The sequence below is a fragment of the Homo sapiens genome, chromosome 4 (genome assembly GCF_000001405.40).
Source record: "Homo sapiens chromosome 4, GRCh38.p14 Primary Assembly".
In the NCBI taxonomy this organism is placed as follows: domain Eukaryota; kingdom Metazoa; phylum Chordata; class Mammalia; order Primates; family Hominidae; genus Homo; species Homo sapiens.
Window position 1 is genome coordinate 5,121,141 of NC_000004.12, and position 21,210 is coordinate 5,142,350.

General features: G+C 44.9%; 1 protein-coding gene across 7 annotated transcripts in view, besides 2 other annotated features; it reads left to right on the forward strand.

Moving 5' to 3' along the window:
- STK32B (serine/threonine kinase 32B) overlaps positions 1–21,210 on the forward strand; it is a 481,604-nt gene that overhangs the window by 101,755 nt on the left and 358,639 nt on the right. For 4 of the 7 annotated variants that reach the window (XM_047415924.1, XM_047415925.1, NM_018401.3 and 1 more), the window contains one exon: positions 18,765–18,820. In XM_047415924.1, coding sequence (XP_047271880.1) covers positions 18,765–18,820 — 56 coding nt within the window. Of the gene's footprint in view, positions 1–17,885; positions 17,908–18,573; positions 18,678–18,764; positions 18,821–19,056; positions 19,167–21,210 lie in introns of those variants that run through there. The other 3 variants (NM_001306082.2, XM_047415926.1, XM_024454131.2) reach the window with 3 other exon arrangements.
- Positions 12,122–12,416: a silencer, noted in NCBI's record as "tiled region #6927; HepG2 Repressive non-DNase unmatched - State 24:Quies". NCBI's record gives its function as "represses a minimal TATA promoter and a strong SV40 promoter by Sharpr-MPRA in HepG2 cells {active_cell/tissue: HepG2}" and the evidence as "EXISTENCE:reporter gene assay evidence [ECO:0000049][PMID:27701403]".
- Positions 12,881–13,479: an enhancer, noted in NCBI's record as "OCT4-NANOG hESC enhancer chr4:5135748-5136346 (GRCh37/hg19 assembly coordinates)". NCBI's record gives its function as "activates a minimal SCP1, AML or CMV promoter by ChIP-STARR-seq in primed H9 embryonic stem cells {active_cell/tissue: H9 hESC(primed)}" and the evidence as "EXISTENCE:reporter gene assay evidence [ECO:0000049][PMID:30033119]".

Sequence of the window (21,210 nt, forward strand, 5' to 3'; positions counted from 1 at the left end):
GAGCTTAGCTCCCATTTATAGGTGAGAACAAATGATATTTGGTTTTCCATTCTTGAATTACTTCAAATAATGGCCTCCAGCTCCATCCAAGTTGCTGCAAAATCCATTTTGTTCCTTTCTATGGCTGAGTAGTATTACATGGTGTATATATACCACATTTTCTTTATTCACTCCTTGGTCAATGGGCATTTAGGTTGGTTCCATTTCCTTGCAATGGCAAATTGTAAGCACTTTACATGTATTAAAAGAATTTGGTCCCACAACGACCCTGTTATATAGCTGTTGTTATGATTCTTCTATTAAGGATTAGGGAACAGATCATAAAACTAGTGAAAGAGGAAAAGCTGGCTCCAATTCTGTCTGTGCAATCAGGTCATTATAATAATATTAATGAGAATAGGACCTATCAGCAGTAATCACAATTATGATAGCAATAACACCAAGGGCAAAGGATAACAGCAGGCATAATTTGTTGAGCAGGTTTGATCCACCAGGTAGTGTACTGGACTGGGTGTTAATGACTTCTGAAGGTAAGAGATATTATTGTTTCCACTTCACAGAAATGGAAACAAAGCCTCAGGTCCTAGTGGGTGGAAGGGATGAGGCTGGAGTGGGACCTGCCTGGCACCAAAGTCTGTATTCAGTCTTGCTGTGACAGCTAAGGAGACTGCTGTCCCCAGGGACAGGCCAGGGACAATCATCCTGTTCAGGAGACTTGTCCTGGGCACCACTTGGCTGCCAGCCACAAGTGAGGGGCCAGAAAAGTTGAGGAGAACACAGCCCAGGCCTGTCCATGCAGATCTCACTGTCAGTGGGAAATGGGACAGAAGGGATCAACCTCCATAGAACCATGCAAGAGTGATTGTGTGTTCACAGTGTCCACCCATTCACTCACTCATTCATTCACTCGCTCATTCATTCACTAATTCACATACTCATTCTCTCACTCATTTACTCACTCATTCACTTACTCACCCATTCATTCACTGTTTCACTCACACACTCATTCACTCCTTCATTCACTTATTCACTTCTTCACTCCTTCACTCACTCATTCACTCATTCTTTTACTCATTCACTCGCTTATTCACTCATTCACTCACATTTACTCATTTACTCATTCATTCATTCATTCACTCACCCATTCACTCACCCATTCATGCATTACCTCATTAATTCAGTCACCCATTCACTCATTCATTCACTGATTCATGCACTTGTTCACTCATTCACTCATTCATTCACTCACTCATTCATTCACTCACTCACTCATTCATTCACTCATTAACCTACTTCACTCATTCACTCACTTATCCATTCAGTTGTTAACTCCTTCACTCATTCATTCACACACATTCACTCATTTACTCATTCATTCACTTGCTCCTTCGTTCACTCATTCTTTTACTCACTCATTCACTCACTCACTTGCTCATTCACTCACTCATTCACCCACCCACTCACTCACTTATTCATTCCCTGACTCATTCACTCACTCACTCATTTACTCATTCATTCATTCACTCATTCATTTACTCATTCACTCATTTACTCACTCAGCTGTTCCTTTGCCAACGCTTGGAGGACTTACTGTGTGCAGGTCCTGGCTCTCATTGAGGTTGCTGGGCTGACTGCATCTGGCGTTGGCCTTGCTGGACCACTCCCTTGCTGCACTCTCCTGCCTGGGTTCCATGATACTCTCCCTGGTTCTCTCCCAGCTCTCTGTGCACCCCTTCTCTGCCTGAGTCCCTTCTCCACCTACTTCAGCTGTTGGTGCTCTTCCACCCTCAGCCCCTGCCTTGACTCTCTATTTGCTCCACCTGCACCAGCTCATGCATTTCCTCCTGTGGCTGTGGAGCCCAAATCCCAGCTCCCTTTCTCATTTCTCACTGCTGGGTCCCCTTCTTTATCACCACAGCTGCCTCAAACTCAACAGGACCCAAGCCAACTTCCCCACCTCCCCACAGAGTGGTTCTTCTTTCTCCTGTGGGCTCTGCTCCCTGAGGCCTTGCTGTCCATGTGTCACTCATGCCCCAAGCTGTAGAGACAGAAGGTGTTGCTCCACACTTCTCTGGCTGTGTCCCGTGGTCTTGCTGGTCAGTTTCCCATGTGTCTCTCAAGTTTCCCCCATTTCTTCACTGCCTGGATCCTACATGCCTCCCGGCTGCTATCTCTGCACCCGGCTTCATCTTCCTTGGAGCCTCATGCAGCCGGCACAAATGAGGATTGAAGGAGTTTTTGTCCATAACCCGGGGTCCTGATGACACCCAGCCCCGTGCTTTTCCAATCACAATGCTAGCATCATTGTTATCATATTTGCTTGTTGGGGCTGCTGTAACAAAGTGTCACAGCCTGGGGGGCTTCAACAACAAACATTTATTTCTTGTAGTTCTGGAGGCAACAAGTCTGAGATCAAGGTGTGGGCAGGGTTGATTTCTTCCAAGGCCTCTCTCCTTGGCTTTATACGGCCACCTTCCCTCTGTGTCCTCCACGTGGCCACCCTGGGTGCATCTGTGTTCTTATCACCTCTTTTTACAAGGACTCCAGTCATATTGGATTAGGGCCCCACCTTTTTGACCCATTTAACCTTAATTACCTCCTTAAAGACCACATAAGCAAATCCAGTCACATTCTGAGGTACTGGGGGTTAGGATTCAGCACATGAGTTTTGGGGGGATACAATTTGATCCATGACAACTATGATTACCACCACCACCACCACCATCATCAATCTCCTCATCCTCATGTCATTTCACCTTTTCACCATCCTCCCTCCTGCCTTTTATTGATCACTTAGTATGTGTGGGGCTCTGATCAAAGCCTGTTAGCCTTCTCATGTGTGATCTCATTTACTTTTCACAACACACCTGTGACCTCTGTTTTATTAGAGCAGAGGAGAAGAGAGGTAAGGTAAATTCTCATATCATCTATTCAAAAAGTAGGTCTCTCATGCCCTGGTTTTGCCAAAATGTCAGCATCCTCCCAGTTTGTTGGCCAGGGGAACTATCACAAACCCCATCAGCTTGTTGAGTTCACTCCCTCAAATTACATAATTTTGCTCTCTCACAGAGAAAAAGTCCCGAAATCTCCGGCTGTTCTAAGTTCATCAGATGTCCGAGTGAGCAAAAGGTTTCACTGGGTTGCTGAGAGCTATGTGCTTTCTGCTCTTCTCTGTAAAACCATCGGCATTTTCTTAGTTCTGCAGCCTCCCTGACTCTCTTAGAGGTGGGTGGACATTCCCTTCTTGGCCCCCAGCCCATTGCCTCCTGAGAGTCCCTCTCTTCTCCCACATCTCATGCAGTGTTTCCTAACCCACCAGAAAGTGAGGGCTTGGGTGGCCAGGACTGAGTTTGGTTTGTTCCTGGCTCAGGGCCTGGAATAGAGCCACATCCTCATGGAAGGTCAGAAAGGAAATACAAAAAAACAGAAGATCTTAACTCTACAGGGACACTACAGGTCATAGATATAAAGGGTCTCAATGAGGCTTCCCATTTTATTATTCCAGTTTGTGTTAGGCTACTAAGGGAACAAGACTGTGTGTATGTGTGCACACATGTGTACATGTCTGTGTGCATGCACCTGTATGCATGTGTGTATGTGTGAGCATGCATATAGATGCACGTGTGTGTTTTAGGGGACATCCTTACTCTTTGGTTGTTCATAACAAAGAATTCGTCACCTACTGGGTCCTGTAGGAGGCAGAATGTTAAGATGGCCCGTCATGAACCTTCCCCTCCAATCTTACTCCTGGGTTATGTTCCATTACATTGTGAAGAGGATATTATGCAAGTGGACCTAATCTAATGACAGGAACTCTCTCAAAGCAGACAGAATTCTTCAACTATTAGCAGAAAGGAAAGTAAGGTAGATTTGAAGCGGAAGAGGGATTTGTTGCAGTATACTAGACAAGCCTCTAGGTGCTGAGAAGACTCCCAGCTCACAACCAGCAAAGACACAGGGACCTTAGTCCTACAGCTGCAGGGAACGGAATCCTGCTAATTATCTTAATGATCTGGGAAGCAGATTCTTCCCCAGATGTCCAACAAGAGCAGCTTGGTCAACACCTTGATGTTGGTCTTCTGATACCTTAAACAGAGAACCCTGTTGATCCTGCTCAGGTTTCTGACCTACAGAACAGTGAGTTAGTAAATGCGTGTTGCTGAGAGCTGCTGAATTTTTGATCATTTATTTTGTAGCATAGAAAACTAATACAAAGCTTTCCTATGTGTGGCCTCGGGCTAGGAACTGAGAATGTAGAAATTAATGCAATAGGTCCCTCCAGCCCCCCTCCCTGAGCAGCTTATGGTTAGAGACAGGAATCAAGGGATTCAGGCAGAGTCATGGGGGCAGCTGCAGCAGCACCTGGTGTGGGTGGGCGTGGTGGACCAGAGCAGCCTTACTTGGCCTGAGGCCAGCGATGCAGGGAGATGCCCAGCAGGCTGAGCCTGCTGCTGCACCCACTGTTGGCTTTTGGAAGCTACTGGGCCAAATGCATATGTCTGGGCTCCAGGGTCATCTGGGACACGTCTCCCTGGTTTTCCTCTCTACTCTCATCCCCGCACCTCTGTTCTCTCACTTTCTATCTGCTTCTGCTTTCATCAAGAGGTCTGCTTCCTCCTTCACAGTGAAAATAGCTACTCCCCAACTCCTTGCTTCAAACCCAGTGACTTCACTGCATTTGTAACTCTGCCTCCTGTGGACCTCCCTCTCCCACAGACCCCCACGAAGGGGCTGCCTCTTATTCCCATCTAGGAGAATTGTTCAGTGATCTGCCCCCATCAGATCTACCGGAGGCCCTTGCCTCAACCTAGGTTGAGCTTCACTTTGGCCTGTGATTGTCCAGTTGCCCTGGCACCATTTGTTGAGAAGCCATCCTCCCTCCACTGAATTGCTTCTACACCTCGGTCAAAAGCCAGTTGGGCACATCATGTGGGTCTGGGTTCTCCATTATGTTCCATTCCTCCATATGTCTGTTTGTCTTCTCATACCACCCAGTCTTGAGTACTGGAGCTACAGAGAAGGCCTTACTATTGGATAGAGTGGGTCCTCCACTTCTTTGTTAAAATTGTTTTAGTTCTCCTGTAGCTAAAATTCCCAGCTCCTCTTAGGATAGTCCTTGTGCCCTTTATCTCCATCCCTTCTTGTCATTTTTCTTCTCTCCCTCCATCCCTCCCTTGTTCTCTCCACCTCCTTGTCGGTAATACTACTTAGCAGCCACTCCGGCAAGCCTTCAGGCCCCCACTGCCCTGCAGGCCAGCCCTGCTGAGCGTGGCTGGGCTCGCTCACTTATCTGGGAGTTGGCTGGTTGTCAGATAGTCTAGGGTGTCTTCGCCAGGACAGCTGTGCTACTCACACTGCCCAGTGTCTCACTGTCTAGTGCTGCCTGGGCATCTTCCCATGGCAAAGTAGATGAGCACCTGTGTATGTTGGAGTTGTAGAAATAAAAAGATATTTTGGAAACATCATTTTGTCATTTAGCTCTTCATTCTGGTAGAGTAGAATCAGAGCTGACAGCGCCAGGTGAGATAGCTTTAGTTACTTCTTAAACCAACCCTCAGCAGTGCAACTTAGGACAAATCAGGTGAATAGAAAGTAACATGACTATATCACCTGTAAAGGCCGCCTATCTCTCAACAAATGATTCGACGGGCAGCTCTGTAATATCTAAAACATGGCCATTTCTACTGATAACCCAGTTATCAATTTCCTGATTTTTTTAGGGAATGAATAATACAGGGTCTGGGACCTAATTTGTGGTTTAGAGTCTACTGATATTTTTCAGTTCAATACTGAGCAGCAGAAAGGGGAGTGGTGATAGGTAATAGTTGGGATACTGTCTATTCCCTCTCCTTTTGCACAGATGACAGCATTACTCACATAATGCTCAGAATGCTCAATGCTGAGATAAAGGTGCCATGGACATTGGTGCTGCCTAAGTGCTTTATTCATGAGCCGTGAAGGGAACTTAACCAGACGAGAATAAACAAGCTAGGATCTTGATGCCAATGATTACATTTTTACTTATCTTTCCGTTAAACATAAGCAAACATCTTCCATTAGCTGCCATACAGTTGAGCGTCCCAGAAAATTTAAATGTCCTCGTTGTGTGGAATGGATATTAACCACATTAAGTACTTAAACAACTGACTGCTGGGACAAAATCTTTCCTGGTGAGGTTCACCTGGTGTGAGGGTCTGATAACCAGGCAGCTCTTGAGTGCAGAGGGCAGAGGGAAGAGTTTGGGGCTGTGGTGAATTGACAGAATTAATTGCCCTGATTCTTCATCGGTGGCACAGATGTGGCTCATTCAGTTACATCCAGTCATCATTTATTGAACCTCTTATTCATGTCAGGTGCTGTTTTGGGTGAGCAATTCTCTCAAAATTATGCCCGCCCAGAACCTCAGAATGCGACCATATTTGGAAATAGGGTCTTTGTATATGTAAGTAGTTAAGCAACTTGAGATAAAATCCTGGATTTAGAATGGCCTTATAAGAAGAGAAAACAGAGACAGACACATAAAGGGGAAGGCCATGTGAGGACAGAGGCAGAGGTTGGAGCCATGCAGCTGCAAGTCAGGGAAGGCCAAGGATGGCTGATGATATGGTTTGGCTGTGTTCCCACCCAAATCGCATCTTGAATTATAGCTCCCATACTTCCCACGTGTCGTGGTAGGGACCTCGTGGGAGGTAATTGAATCATGGGGGTGGGTTTTTCCCAGCTGTTCTCGTGATAGTAAATAAGTCTCACGAGATCTGATGGTTTTATAAAGGAGAGTTCCCCTACACGAGCTCTCTTGCCTGTTACCATATAAGATGTGACTTTGCTCCTCAGTCACCTTCCACCATGATTGTGAGGCCTCCCCAGCCATGTGGGACTGTGAGTCAGTTAAACTTCTTTCCTTTATAAATTACCCAGTGTCAGGTATATGTTTATTAGCAGCGTGAAAACAGACTAATACAGCTGGCAACTCCCAGAAGCCAGAAGAGACAAGGACAGATCCTCCCCTAGCACCTTCACAGGGAGCATGGTCCTGAGGACACCTTCCCTTTGGACTTCTGGCCTCCAGAACTGTGAGGCAATGAATTTCTGTTGTTTTAAGCCATGTAATTGGTGGTAGCTTGTTACAACTGTCCTAGGAAACGTATACATTGGGAATGCAGGAAGGAGGTATGCATAAGGCGGTGTTTGCTTTCGAGGAATCGATAGTTTAATTCTTATTGTCTCTCAAACATGTGTTTGATTCTTTTCTTGTCCTGAATTCCACATTTCCACCAGCATCCAAATTATCTTCTGTCCTGAGGTTTTTGCTGTGTAATATTTTCCTGTATGAATTAGGCATATGATTTCCTGAGTGCTTATAGATTCAGTGTTTTTGCTGGTAAGAGTGTGGAGCGAGGGGTAAAAAGAGGTTTTAAGGCTTTACAAAACACATTAATCAACTAGAAAGCAAAGCAGTTTTTAATGAGGCAACAAGAGGTGGTTGCAGCTCAGCTTAGCAAATACTGGCTGTCTACTTCGTACCAGGCAGTGCCTCAGGCACATGGGGAGTAAACAGGGAGTGGAGGAAAAGTCTCTTCTGAACAACTGATCGGCTACTGGCCCTGGCCAGCCAGAATGGATACTGGCCAGGAGCTGAATCTCTCTCTGGCTGCTACCGGCTCAGGATATGAATGTGAATGAGGTGAGAAAGGGAAGCTGTGTGCAGACTGCTCTAATCAGAGCCATGAATGTTAGTATTGACCTGTGAACAGGGTGCAGTTGGAATTTCTGGGGTAAAACGTCACCTTCAGCATTTGAAGCAAAGGACATACACGTAGTTTCTCAGTGTGTATTGCCTGGAGAGCTGTCGATTCCAGCCCTTGTGTAGCCTGTGAGACTGTGGCCTTGAACTAATAGATTATCTGCTGAGAGGCAAAATCGCACACCTAAATAGTCATGTCCATAAGTTATGGGGAAGGCAAGAGACTGATATTTATTGAATGCTTTTCATGTTAGGCAGTGAGCTTTATGGCTTTTATGTTGTTACAAGTAACTCCAATCCACTCAGGAATTTACTTTGGAGTCTAGTGAAAGGAGAGACATTCATTTTATTTTATTATATTTTTCCCCAGTAGCTAGCCAGTTCTTGCCCTGCTCACTGAATAACTCTTCTCTTCTTTATTGGAGTCCAACCTAGGTCTGTTAACGTCCAAAGCTGTTTTCTTCCCTCCACCTTCCTCAAGCTCTGGTGGACATTTTTGTGACTAGGTTTCTGGTAGAATACACATCACTAGAGGTTTTGTCTCTCTTGTTCATTGTAGGCGTCTTATCCTGTGCAATGACTATTTGTTGAATGAATAAACTATGTATTCTTATATCTGGTAGGATGAAACTTTTCTCTTCAAAACTTATTTGGCAGAACATTTGACCTATTCTCACCTATTTATTCTCCTAAGAATAATTTTGTCAATTTTGGGGAACAACCTTGATTATAATTATGTTAAATGTGAACACGAACTTGAGAGGAACTGACATATCTCTTGTGTGCCTCAACCTTTAGTACCTTACCGCATTAATCACCTTAACAACCCTAAGAAGTAGGTATCATTGTGCCTATTTTATCAATGACTATGGTGAGATACTTCCTGAAGATATCCTTAACTCCCTAGGCAGAAGTGACCCTCTCATTGCAAATGTGTACAGCCAGCACTCCTTTGGATTTCTCCCATTCAATATTTATTCATTCACTTGTTCTTTCTTTTTTTATTCAGTAAATATTTATTGAGTGCCTATTATATGCCAGGCACTGTTCTAGGTGCTTGGGATGCTGAAATGAATGAAACAGGCAAAACTCAGTCCTCAAGGAGTTGACATCCCAAAGGAGAGGTGCAGACAATAAACAAGTCAGTAGGAGGACAACAAATATTTCTGATCATGACAATTCCTAAAACAGAAATAAAAAATACAAAAGAAACGGCAGTGAGGTAGGGAGTACCAAGGGAGGTGACCCAAATAGGGTGGTGAGGGAAGACCTCTCACCTTCTCCGGCGGGGGGAGGCCTGGGGGATGGGAAGGAGTCAGCACTGGGGCACCATGACCAGGCGTTCCAGGCAGAGGGACAGCAGGGCAAAGGCTCTATGATAGTAGAGTGCCTGGGCTGTGAGGCACAGCCAGGAGCCATGGGTGGCTGAAACACACTGTGGTGAGAGCAAGGAGAGTGACGGTGGGGAGGTTTGGCGGGAGGGGTGACTGGGTTCTTCTAGGCCATGGTGAGGAGCATGGATCTTATTTCATGCACAATGCCATGCTACTGAAGAATCCAAACCGGGCTTGGGCTGTCGGCTTTGAGAAGGTAGGCAAAAGGCAAAGAAAGTAATCTCTTGGCCTTGGACCTGTGAACAAACTCAGCACCCTGGAACCAATAGGTTCACACCAAGAGGACACCTTCCTGAGAACTGCAGTGGTCTAATCTGTTGTCCAAAATAACCCCTTTCCAAAACCTGAAGTCCCTGGGAGGCCAAATCAGGCATTGGAGAGCAACTTGGTAAACAAAGGGAGGTGAGGCCGCTTGAGCAATGGTTTTTTAAGGCGCTGCTGAGGCCTGACCCATTCCTGCCTGAGGAAATGTCTACCAATCCAGTGGGTTAATCCTTCCTCCACCCTGCCCCACTCATCCCTTCCACTCATACTTCTGTCTTGCTGTTCCTGGAACTCATCTTGCTATTTCATGCCACTGTTGAAGATTTTCCTGAAATCCTTTCTTCTTCTCATCCCCTGGGAAATTTTTGTTATTCCTCATGTATATGCTCAGTGTCTTGTGCTTTTCAAAACTTTCCCTGATGGTCCCAAGAGGATGGAGTGGATTCTTCTCCCTGACCTTGTGCCTGACTCTGCCGCTGCACCCGTCACCCCCTTTTGATGTCTGCCAGGACCTGGGCATGCCTCTGCTAGGCAGAGGATCCTTGGGAGCAGAGCCATCACATCTGAAGTCCTCTACTCCTATCAGGGAACTCAGAAAATTTGAGGAGAACAGACCTAAATCCAGTAATGAGAATGCCCCTTTCACTGCTTCCCACGTGTGCACAGGCTGCACCAGCACTAAGGGCTTGCTCTGCCTCCCCCTTTTCCAGGCTGATGTCTGACCACTCACCCCATCTTTTCAATCAGCTTTCGTCAGGCAGGCTGAGATCGCTGTACAATCACTGAGATCCTGCTTCCCTAGTTACCGTCATGTGGCAATTTTATCTCCACCTGATTACATCTAAGATGCTTTGATTGAAGTTTGAATATTTCCAAACAGCTTAAACAAACATCAACAGACCATATTTTTCGTTCTCCTCCTCAGAACCCTGTAGTACTTTCTCATCATGTTTGAAAAACTTCCTAGAGCCCTTACCCCAGCCTGTGAAGCCCTGCATGGCCAGCTCATGACCTCTCCTCTGACCCTGGCTTTCCCACTTTCTCTCCTTCCTACACAGCAGTCCAGCCATCCTTGCCTGCCTGCTGCTCCTGGGGACTGTCATGCATGTTTTTTGCCAAGGGCCTTTGCACATGCTGTTCTCTCTGCCTGAAATAACCATCCTCCTCATATCAGCATGGCATCTTCTGTCACTTTATTTATGGATCTGCTCTATTATCCTCTTTTTAGAAAGGCTTGCCCTGACCACCCTGTCTAAAATTGCAGCTCCTGCCCCCAACACAATCACTATCACCTTACCTGATGTAGAAGGAAGAATAACTGCTCCTCAAATATAACTGTGTCTTAAATGTTGGAATCTGTATACATTACATGGCAAAAGGGACTTTTTAGATGAGATTAACTGAAGGATTTGAGATGGGGGAGAGCATCCTGGATTGTACAGGTAGCCTTTAATGTAATCAGAGTCCTCATAAGAGGGAGGCATTTGGTTTTCTGTTCCTGTGTTAGTTTGCATGGGGTAATGGCCTCCAGCTCCATCCATCTTGCTGCAAAGAACATGATCTTCCTCTTTTTATGGCTGTGTAGTATTCCTTGGTGTATATGTACCATATTTTCTTTATCCAGTCTATTGTTGATAGACATTTAGGTTGGTTCTAGGTCTTTGCTATTGTGAATAGTGCTGCAGTGGACATTTGTGTGCATATGTCTTTATAGTATGATTTATATTTCTTTGGGTATCACTTATAAGTGGGAGCTGAACAATAAAAACACATGGACATAAAGAGGGGAACAACAAACACTGGGTGGAGGGAGAGGATCAAAAAGCTACCTATTAGGAACTATGCTTACTACCTGGGTGATGACATAATCTATACACCAATGCCCTGTGACATGCAGTTTACCTAAGTAACAAACCTGAACTTGCACCCGGAACCTAAAATAAAAAATAAATAAAAGGGGATGCATAAGGGTGAGAGAAGATGTGACAACCAAAGCAGAAGTCGCAGTAATATGGGATCACAAGCTGAGGAATGTGACACCTCTGGAAGCTGAAAAGACAAGCAGACAGATTTTCCCCAAGATCTTCCAGAAGAAACACAGTCCTGCTGACAGCAGGATTTCAGCCCAGGGAGACTTCCAGGACTGTAAGATAATAAATTGATATTATTTAACCTACCAAGTATATGGCCATTTGTTATAGCAGCACCTGGAAATTCATACACCTGGATTTACTTTCATTCATAGAATTTACCACTTTTTTTTTTTTTTGGGACAGAGTCTTGCTCTGTTACCCAGGCTGGAGTGGAGTGCAGTCGTGTGATCTTGGCTCACTGCAACCTCTGCCTTCTGGGTTCAGGTGATTCTTCTGCCTCAGCCTCCCAAGTAGCTGGGATTACAGGCATGCACCACCACTCCTGGCTAATTTTTGTATTTTTAGGAGAGATGGGGTTTTGCCATGTTGGCTAGGCTGGCTGGAACCCCTGACCTCAAGTGATCCACCTGCCTCAGCCTCCCACAGTGCTGGGATTACAGGCATGAGCCACTGTACCTGGCCAGAATTTACCACTTTCTGCCATTGAATTGCAGATTTGTCTCCTTGCACCAGAAGGTCAGCTCCCCTGTTGTAGGTTCATTGTGTGTTTTGTTCACTGTTGGTTCCCGGTACGTAGTAGAGGGCCTGGAAGGCAACATATACTCAGTCATCATTTCAACAAGTGTATACCCACTCAGTAAAAATGTATTTATTCTCCCCAAAATATTTTTTGAATGAGTGACTAATGGAAGCTTTTCATGATAGATGCCTGCCACAGCTTGGTCAGCCCCCTTTCTGTGTAAACATCAACAATTTCCTGTAGAGAGGGTGATCTCATTTCCCACTCCCTCAGAGAGCTCCCTACCCATACTCCCACTACTCAATGTAGGTCATTCATTCATGCATATATGTCATTATCTTGAGTGAGTACTTAACACAGCACTACCTGCCTGGCACCTGGATTCAGCAATGAACAAGACTGTGGCTCTTTGTTAAGGGGTCATCTGGTTACCTGGATTATTTCTGTACTAAGGAGAGACAAACTCAGAAATAATCGCCATCATTATATGCTGATTATATAATAGTCTTATTCCAAGAAAAATCTTAGAGAGATGTTAGCTCATTGTACAGATGAAGAAACTGAGATTCTGAGATGTTAAGTGACTAGGTTGAAGGCCCATGGCTGGACCAGGGGATTGGGTGGCCACTCTTCAGTGGCTTCTGTTTACTGAGTTGCCCTTTTGCTACGTCACTGTCTATGGCCGTCATCCTGACTTGGGGATGCAGGCATCACTACCTCCATTTTATTAAATGGAAAATCAAGGCTTGGAAGTTAACTTACGTCCTCAGGTTCACACTGACTCAAATAGTGGGGCTGGGTTTAAAACTTTGTTTAAACCTTTGTCCAGGGAACACCAAACCCTCCTTTTCATCCATGGCCTGACTCTCTCCCCATCAACAGATAGGACCTCTCTCTGCTGCAGCCCAATGACCCATACCTCAGATGCTTACAGAATCAGGCAGGAAACAGAGATGCATAAACTGGGCCAGGTGTGACAGTGGTGAATCAGAGAATATTGTGGAAGGGCATCGCAGGCCCAGATTTTTTTGGCAAATCTTCCAATTTCTTGCGGTTTTAACGTGTTCCCCAAAGTTTATGTGTTGGAAACTAAATTTCTAATGAAACAGTGTTGAGAGGAGAGGCCTAATAAAAGGTGATTAGGCCATGAAATCTCTGCCCTTATGAAGGGACTGCTGTCATTATCATGGGAGTAGATTAGTTATCACAAGAGTGAATTACAAAAGCAAGCTTAGCCCCCTCTTGCTCCTTTGTTATCTTGCGCTCTCCTGCCCTTCCTCTGTGGGATGATGCAGAAAGAAGGCCCTCATCAGATGCCAGCACCTTAATTTTGGACTTCTTAGCCTCCAGAACTGTGAAAAAATAATTAAAAATAAATAAATTACCCAGTCTGTGGCATTCTGTGATAGCAACACAAAACAGACTAAGGCATATCAGAAACCAGGATTTGGGGGTGACATTGTCTAATTTTTAAATACTGTAACTTATTCAAAACAATTTTAATCATTGGACTAGCCAGACTAAACACACGCATGACCCACCCATGTGCAAACTTGTGCCCAGCACCAACTCTGCAAGGAATGAGCCGCAGGTTTCAGGTTTTTAGGAGGGCAGGAACGGGATGTTTGCTTACTTTTCTTGCTTGATGCCCACAGTGCTTAAATGCATGTGTTTGTACAGGATGTGGACTGTGGTTTACTTTCCATTAGAGATTGTTTGAAAGAGTTACTAGCCATCTTGAAAGTTCACTCTTGGCTGTTTGAATAAACAGCTTCATGAATATTGCAATGTTGAAAGCGTGCTATGAAATTCATTAGAAATAACTGGTCTAGTGGAAATGAGAAAAGAGCCCACTGGCATGTAAAGTAGGACAACCAGATTTACCCAGTGTGATCAATCACCATCAATAACTAATTAGCACTAATACACTTCCAGATTTATCAGTCGTGGAATATTTTGTCATGATTTAATCAGACCAGTGTTGTATCACAAGGGTGAAATATGAGGAAAAGCCACTAACATAGAATAATATTCATAGCAATACCTAAATGCTTAACCTTTATTAATTAAGATACCATGTACAACACTATGAGGTAGGTGTTGTATTTTACCCATTATATAGGTGTGGAGGCTGATGCACAGAGAGCCTGAGTGACTTCCCCAACATCACCCAGCCACAGCCACTGAGTGTTGGAGTGAGAATCCAAATCCAGGCAGCCTGGCTCCTATGTTGTTGTCCCAAATAACTCTTGTTCTTTGGCCTCTTAGTAAAATGACAGTGGGGCTGGAAATTTAACAATAAAATAGTTAGCATTTACTAAGCCGCTGCTATGTGCCTGGCTTTGAGTATCAGAAAAGAATGTTTCTAGCTTCTAGTAATAGACAACCTGACCCACTGAACAAATAAAATTGTTTTGTTATTTTTCCTAATATATTAAGTCCCAAGGTAAGTGGTTGCTGGCCTGTGTTCAGAGGCTCACAGGAAGGAGTGGCTTCCCTGCATCTGTCTTGATCCTTTGCTCATGTTTTTGGCTTTATAGTCACAAGATGGTTGTTGCAGCTCCAGATATCACGTCCACATTGAAGGCAGGAAGAAGTGGTAGAGTGGAAGGGCTACTCCAGCTCAGTGTGCCCCTTTCCTCACATACACAAAAAATGCTTTCCCAAAAATGTCTCCATCTCATTGATTAGATCTCATTGATTAGATCTGGATCACAAGGTCACTGCTGGCTGCACAGTGGCTGGAAAAGTGGGGAACACAATTGTCCGGATTAATTAGATCGGTAGTTCCCAAAGTGCAGTCCCAGAACCATCAGCACCACCTAGAAACTTCTTAGAAATGCAAATTCTCTAATGCCTCCTTAGAAATTCAGGAGGTGAATTCAGGAGGTGGTACACACTGATCTCTTAACAAGGTTCCAGGTGATTCTGAAAACGCCACTGGATTTGATCAATTATGACTATTGGGGATTATCATTCATTGCCTGGGGCTGGCCACAGTGATCCCTAAGGAGAGCTGGGTTTTTGTTATCAAGAAAGAAGGGAGAATTGAGCCTGGCTGAGCAAATAATGCCGCCAATGTGTTGTTCCATTGTCTTCATGATGCCTGGCAAGGCAGGTGCCACTGTCCTTGTGTTTTTGGCAAGGACACTGACACTCCTTTGCCTTTGCAGCAGTGCGTTTCCCATTTCTACCCTAGTGGTACACTTTTAGCGGTGTAACCCTTTGCAGCTCTAAGAGTCTGGTGGTGAGATACCACTTTTCAAGAATGTACTTCACCTCCAATCCGATCACTCTGCTAGCCCAAGCAGTGCTTGTGGCTTCCTCAGATGGAATGGGTTCCTGTTCAGAAACCAAGGGTGCCAAACTGGTTTTCCCCAGACTGGGTAGTTTTCAAGGATGCAGAACTTCCCGTACTAAAACCAGGAAGATTCCAAGGAAACCAGGACAAGATGGTCACCCAAAGAAACCACTCTTCAACCCTCTCACACCCCCCAGCCAATTCTTCCTACTCTGAGCAAACAACCTCACGTGACAGTATGATTCTAGGACCCATTATTGGCTTGGCATTTTCATTGACTGAAGCCATTTTAATCTGTTCATCAACCAAGTGTTAACTTTTCACTTATTCAAAGTGTCTTCTTTTAGGTGCTATTATGTCAGTGTCAGTGTAGTACACCCCAGGGAGATGCCAAATAAATAGGAACCACAGGCCGTGTGCTCAAAGTCATCTACATCCAATCTAGTCCAAGAAGCAGACAAGCATTCATTAAGTGCCTTTTTGCCCCATACATTGTTAGTTTCCCCAAAGGAGCCCACAATTTTGTAGGGGATATGGATGACATGGGTGAGTGGGAATATTTACAATGTTATAACACTAATTATTAAAGTAATAATGGCTTTTGGCATTTGACCATTTATTCAGTAATTAACACCTCCCTCCAGTTAGGAGACATGACAGAGGAGGAGGTTGATAGAGAACCAAGTCTCACCTCTACAGCGATAAAGCTGTGGCCAAGGAATGTAACTCAGGAAGGCAGTAATCATGCACTCCCTAATGCTGAAGCCTAGAATTAGCTGGACTTTCCCACCTGGCCAATGCTCAATCTGGACCCCACAGACCTCTCCTCATGGCAGCTGGTCCTGAAAAGCTTCTGGCAAGAAGGAGCAGAAGAGAGGCCACTCCCTAAAGTCAGACTCCACAGAGAGGGCACAGTGAGCATCAGTATGCTGGTGCCATTCCTTTTCCAGTTCATCACTCGGATAACTTGCACCACCTTGGATGGGGCAAGAGGCCACGGATGTGTAAGGTATCCCAACTGGAAGAAACCAGAAAAGAGGGAGGGGAATTGCTCCTCACCCCCAACACAGAGCTAGCACTTTTTGAAAGGTTGTAGTGTGCCAGGCATGATTCTGAGCTCTTTATGGAATGTAGGCCCCATTTTCCCTATTTTACAAATGAGATAACTGAGGCACACAGAGGCTAAATGATGCCGCTAATGACAGACTGACTGAATAGAGCTGTATTGTGGACCTGAGCAGACTGGCTCCAGGGAATGTCCTCCCAAACTGTTAGATGTCTACAGAAGGTTCAGAGTTAACTCTAAGGAAAAAAATGGTTAGTTGGGGGTTGGGGAAAAGCTTCCCAAGAGAGCAAGTGCATGAGCTGCGTGTCAAAGGCCAATGAAAAGTTTTTCCCAAAATAAGGTGTGTTGGAGAAATGGTCTTGCAGGCAAGGGAAACAGCAGCATGAAGATATGGTGCTATTCAGGGAACCCGTGATGTTCATTGCTGATTTGAGGACCCGACAGTGGTACCTGCCCCGTGGGGACCTCGGGAGTTTCTCGACAGGACATGTGCATTTCCTAGCATGCTGCTGGTTACATAACAAGCTGCAGTCCAAGCTCATTGCTTTTTTTCCCTCTTCTCTGATCTTTGGTGAATGAGTAAGAAGTGAAAATATGAAATCTCTTTCTTGGCAAGTTATCCTGAAAGGAAATAAATCTAAATCAAAGAACCAAGGTTTTAGTAAGTTAACCATTAACTCCGTCTCTCTATTCTAAGCACGTTAGGCATTCGACCTCACGCTGGATTCTGACTTTGGCTTGGCAGGGACACAACTCAGCATAATTATCCTCCATTGCATAAGTTTAATATACAAGGAACTAATTGTATTCATTTACTTCCTCACATCCTTGCTTCCATTATGTGGTGAACTAATCAATTCACTTCATTTTTTTTTTTGTAAATAACATATCTTTTCTAGTTATTGGAAACTGGCTGTAATTCAATCTAATTCAAAAATATTTACCAAACACTTATTATGTACCAGGAGTTGTGTTTGGCACTATGAATATGGAGATTAGTTCATTCAGTCATTCCTCCTGTTAATGAATATTTATTGAACAGTAACTGTGTACTAAACACTGTGCTGAGTGCTAAGGGTACAACAGAAAAAAATAAACATGGCCCTTGAACTCAGGGAGCTTAGAGTCTAGTAGGGAAAAGTGAACTTAATGAAATATACAAAGGTAAAATTACACAAAGCGATGTATTTTGGGGAAAGTTCCACAGTGCCATGAGAATGTATCGTAGGGAGCCAGACGTAGTCTGGAGGGTGAGGGAAGCCTTCTGAGGATGTAGAGAGAACAAGGGTAGGGCAAGGAGGAGAGCACTCAAGGCCTGGGAGTAGCTGCTCTCACGTGTCTGGCATTCAGTAGGTGATGGGAGTGAGCAGGGAAGGGAGGCAGGAGAAGCAGCTGGAGCCCTGCAGCCCTGGGGAAGGATTTCCTTTTTCCACTGAGAGCAATGGAGGGGACATCGGAGGGGAGGAAGCAGAGGACAAGCAAGATCACTCGGCTCCTCACACATTTTCCTGAGTGGAAGAGTCAGGTGAGGATGTTGGGAGGCCACCATAGTGGTCCAGGAGACAGAAGATGGTGGATTAGACCAGAGCAGTGGCCATAGGGGTAGACAGGTGTGAGACACTGTGCAGAGACAACATGGAGCTACCTGATGAAAGACCGGATGTGGGGTAAGGGGAGAAAGGAGTCAAGGATGAGTCCCAGGTTTTGCACATATAGGACCAGTGAACGTTGAGACCACTCATCCTGCATTCTGCTTTGGATCTGTTGAGTTCATGGTGGCTTTGGAACCTCCATGAGGACCTGAGGGCAGGCATTGACACATACAGCCAAGGCTAGAGACACCTTGGAGAGCCACTGCCAATTAGGTGGTCATTGCAGCCTTTGGAGCCCATGACAAGAGAACAGTTGTAGGACAAAAGGCTTGACAGACTCTAGTGTTTAATGCCTGGGAGGACAAGGCTGAGTGTGCAGAAGGAAGTGAAGCATGAAGGGGAGAATTGAGAGAGTGAACAAGTCAAAGGAGGGGAGGATGTCCATGGGATTTACTGGCAAGGCCGTACATTGTTGACCTGTCTTGGTGTAGGGAAACATGTAGAAGCCAGGCAGAAGTGGGGTAGAGAGTGAAGCAGCAAGACTGCAGAGCCTCATCAAGAAGTGTGGAGTGAAGGGAAGGCTTCAGATGGACAATTTGTGTGCTGGGGAAAAAATGGAATGTGCTGCAAATTCCCCTGTGGATAAGGGTGGACGGCTGCTCTGGCAAGTATAGTGCACCTGACCCAAGAGCCTTTGGAATAGGTGGGTAGGTACATAGGTAAGGATATTCAAGGAGCAATACCAGGTTTAGCAAATCTGACTTGTTTCCTTTTTTGTTTTCTTTTGCAGTCAACTTTGACCATTTTCAGATTCTGCGGGCCATTGGTAAAGGGAGTTTTGGAAAGGTAAGAATATAAATGTCTGGACCACTGGGCTTAAGTATGTGTGTATATTTGTGTGTCTGTGTGTTGGTTGCTGGGCACTGGGAATGTTCTGTTTGACAGTAAGATTTCGACTTGACAAACTTGAAATGTGAAAGGAAGTCTGAATAGTTTCCTTGCGATCTGGTGTAATTTTCTTCTGGAAATTAAATTACCACAACAGCCCTGGTTTAGGTGAATTACAATGGTATTTATTTCAGGATTGCCAATGCCGTTTGTTCCTTGAGAATCTAAGTGAGGAAAGTTGAAAAAAAACCCATAAACATCACAAAGGCAGCTCTTTCCAGCAACATAGACGTTTGTTGTTTTGGTAAGTTCATATTTGTGATCTTTGACTATTTTTTTTGAAAAGGTATAGAAGGCTAGGAGAAGATGGCAGGAGTTTTTAGAAAACAAAAATACTCCCCCCAGTCAAGCTCCAGTCTGTTCCCACATACTCAGAAATTTTTTTTTTTGGCAATAATTGCTTTGAGTACCTATTGAATGCCAGAGATATTCTGTTATGTTTTTTTCACATCTATTGTTATTTCCATTTTACAGATGGAAAAGCTTAGATGTGAAACATAGTCTCTGTAACTCAGAAAGATGGAGCAGGTTACCCTTGGCCACATAGGCGGGAAGTGTCAAAACTGGGATTTGAGCTGAAGGCTGACCAGGAACCTGCTGTTTCAGCAGCCCATACTGTTGATTAGACTATTTAAAACTCATAGAGCTAAACTGAGGCATGTGACTTAAGAAGTTGGATAGACCCAGACAACCTCCCTCCCTCCCTCCTTGCCTAGTTTTATTGATCCAATCCATGCATACTAATTGCATGCAAACTCTGTACCAGGCACTATTTTAGACTCTGTTGATCAGTAGTAACCAAAACAGATCCAAGTGTCTTTTCTCATAGTGCTTATATTTAAAAAATGAGAGAGATGCGAAACAGATAATTGTATACCTTTATGGTACATTAGATAATGATAAGTACATTAAAATACAGTAAGGTAAGGGGAATATGGAGTTATGGGAGAGTAGCAGGGAGAAGTTGCTGTTTTGTAGAGCTGAGCTATCAATAGGGTAGCCACTAACCACATGTGGATATTTAAATTTGAATTAATTAACATTAAGTAAAATGGTAACAATTCAGTTCCACAGCACACTAGCTGCATTTTAAGTGCTCAGTAGCCACGTGTAGCCAGTGGCTACTGTATTGGAAGCTCAGGTTATGACGCATTTCCATATCATAGATGGTTCTGCAGGACAGTGCTCTCATACAGGGTGTCAGGGACGTCCTTGATAATAGCATGACATGTGAGCAGAGACCTGAAGGAAGCAAAGGAGGAAGACAGGCAAGTTCCAGGCAGAGGGAACTTCAAGTGCAAATCCCACGGAAGGGAGTGTGCTCTGTGTCTTTGAGGGGCTTCCAGGCAATGGGAGTGGTGCAAGGTGAGGTCAGTGAAGTCGGCGAGGCCCAGGTCTTAGAGGACTTCTTCCATGTGGTAAAGGCTTTGGCCATTTCACAGAGTGGGAAGAGAAGGCTTGGGGGTTTCTGGGGGAGGAGTTGCATGATCTGTTTGTAGAAGTTCATAGAAGTTCACTTTGGCTACCATGTGGAGAATAGCCTGGGAGGGGCCACAGCAGCAGCGGGGAGCCCTGTGGGGAGAGGAGGTGGTGGCCTGGGGCACATGGCAGTGCTGGGGGTGGTGAGAAATAGTCAGATTTTGGATATATTTTGAAAATGTCACCAAATCAAGTGGTCCATAGGTATAGGGGGTCTCTGCAGTAGCTCAGAGGCTGTCTGATGTCATCACAGGTCTGGACACTTTTCACCCACCCCCTCCACCTTCCTCAGTGGGATGAGATTTTCTCCTCAGGTTTCCTATCTAATGGTTTAGAGGTTGCCGAGTTCTGTGTATCACATCTTCACACAACTGCTCCTCACTTCTGTGACTTTGTTAGAGAAGGACTTCCCCCCTGGAACCTCCCCAACCAACCCGTTTTATTGGCTATAATTGGTCACATGACCACTGCTTCCTACTGAGGGAAGCATCTTCCATCTTCAGCCTGTAGCTGGGAGACGAGCTCTTCCGGTAGAGAAGGGCAGGAGGATAGTTTGGGTGGGCACAGAAAAGTGCCCTTGGGAATGTCCAATACACTAACTATCCTTGTGCTTGCTGCTTGGGGAGCAAAGTTGAGTAAGAAGTGATCCCTACTGACCAGAAACTCATCCTCTTATGGGGTAGATGGTTGTATGGACCAATATATTCAATGGTCAACTCTATTCCTGGGAAAAATCTCTTCTTCCCTGGGGAGTATTTTCTGATGATTTCTGCTTCTCTTTTACTTATGTGGACCTTCTTACAGAAACC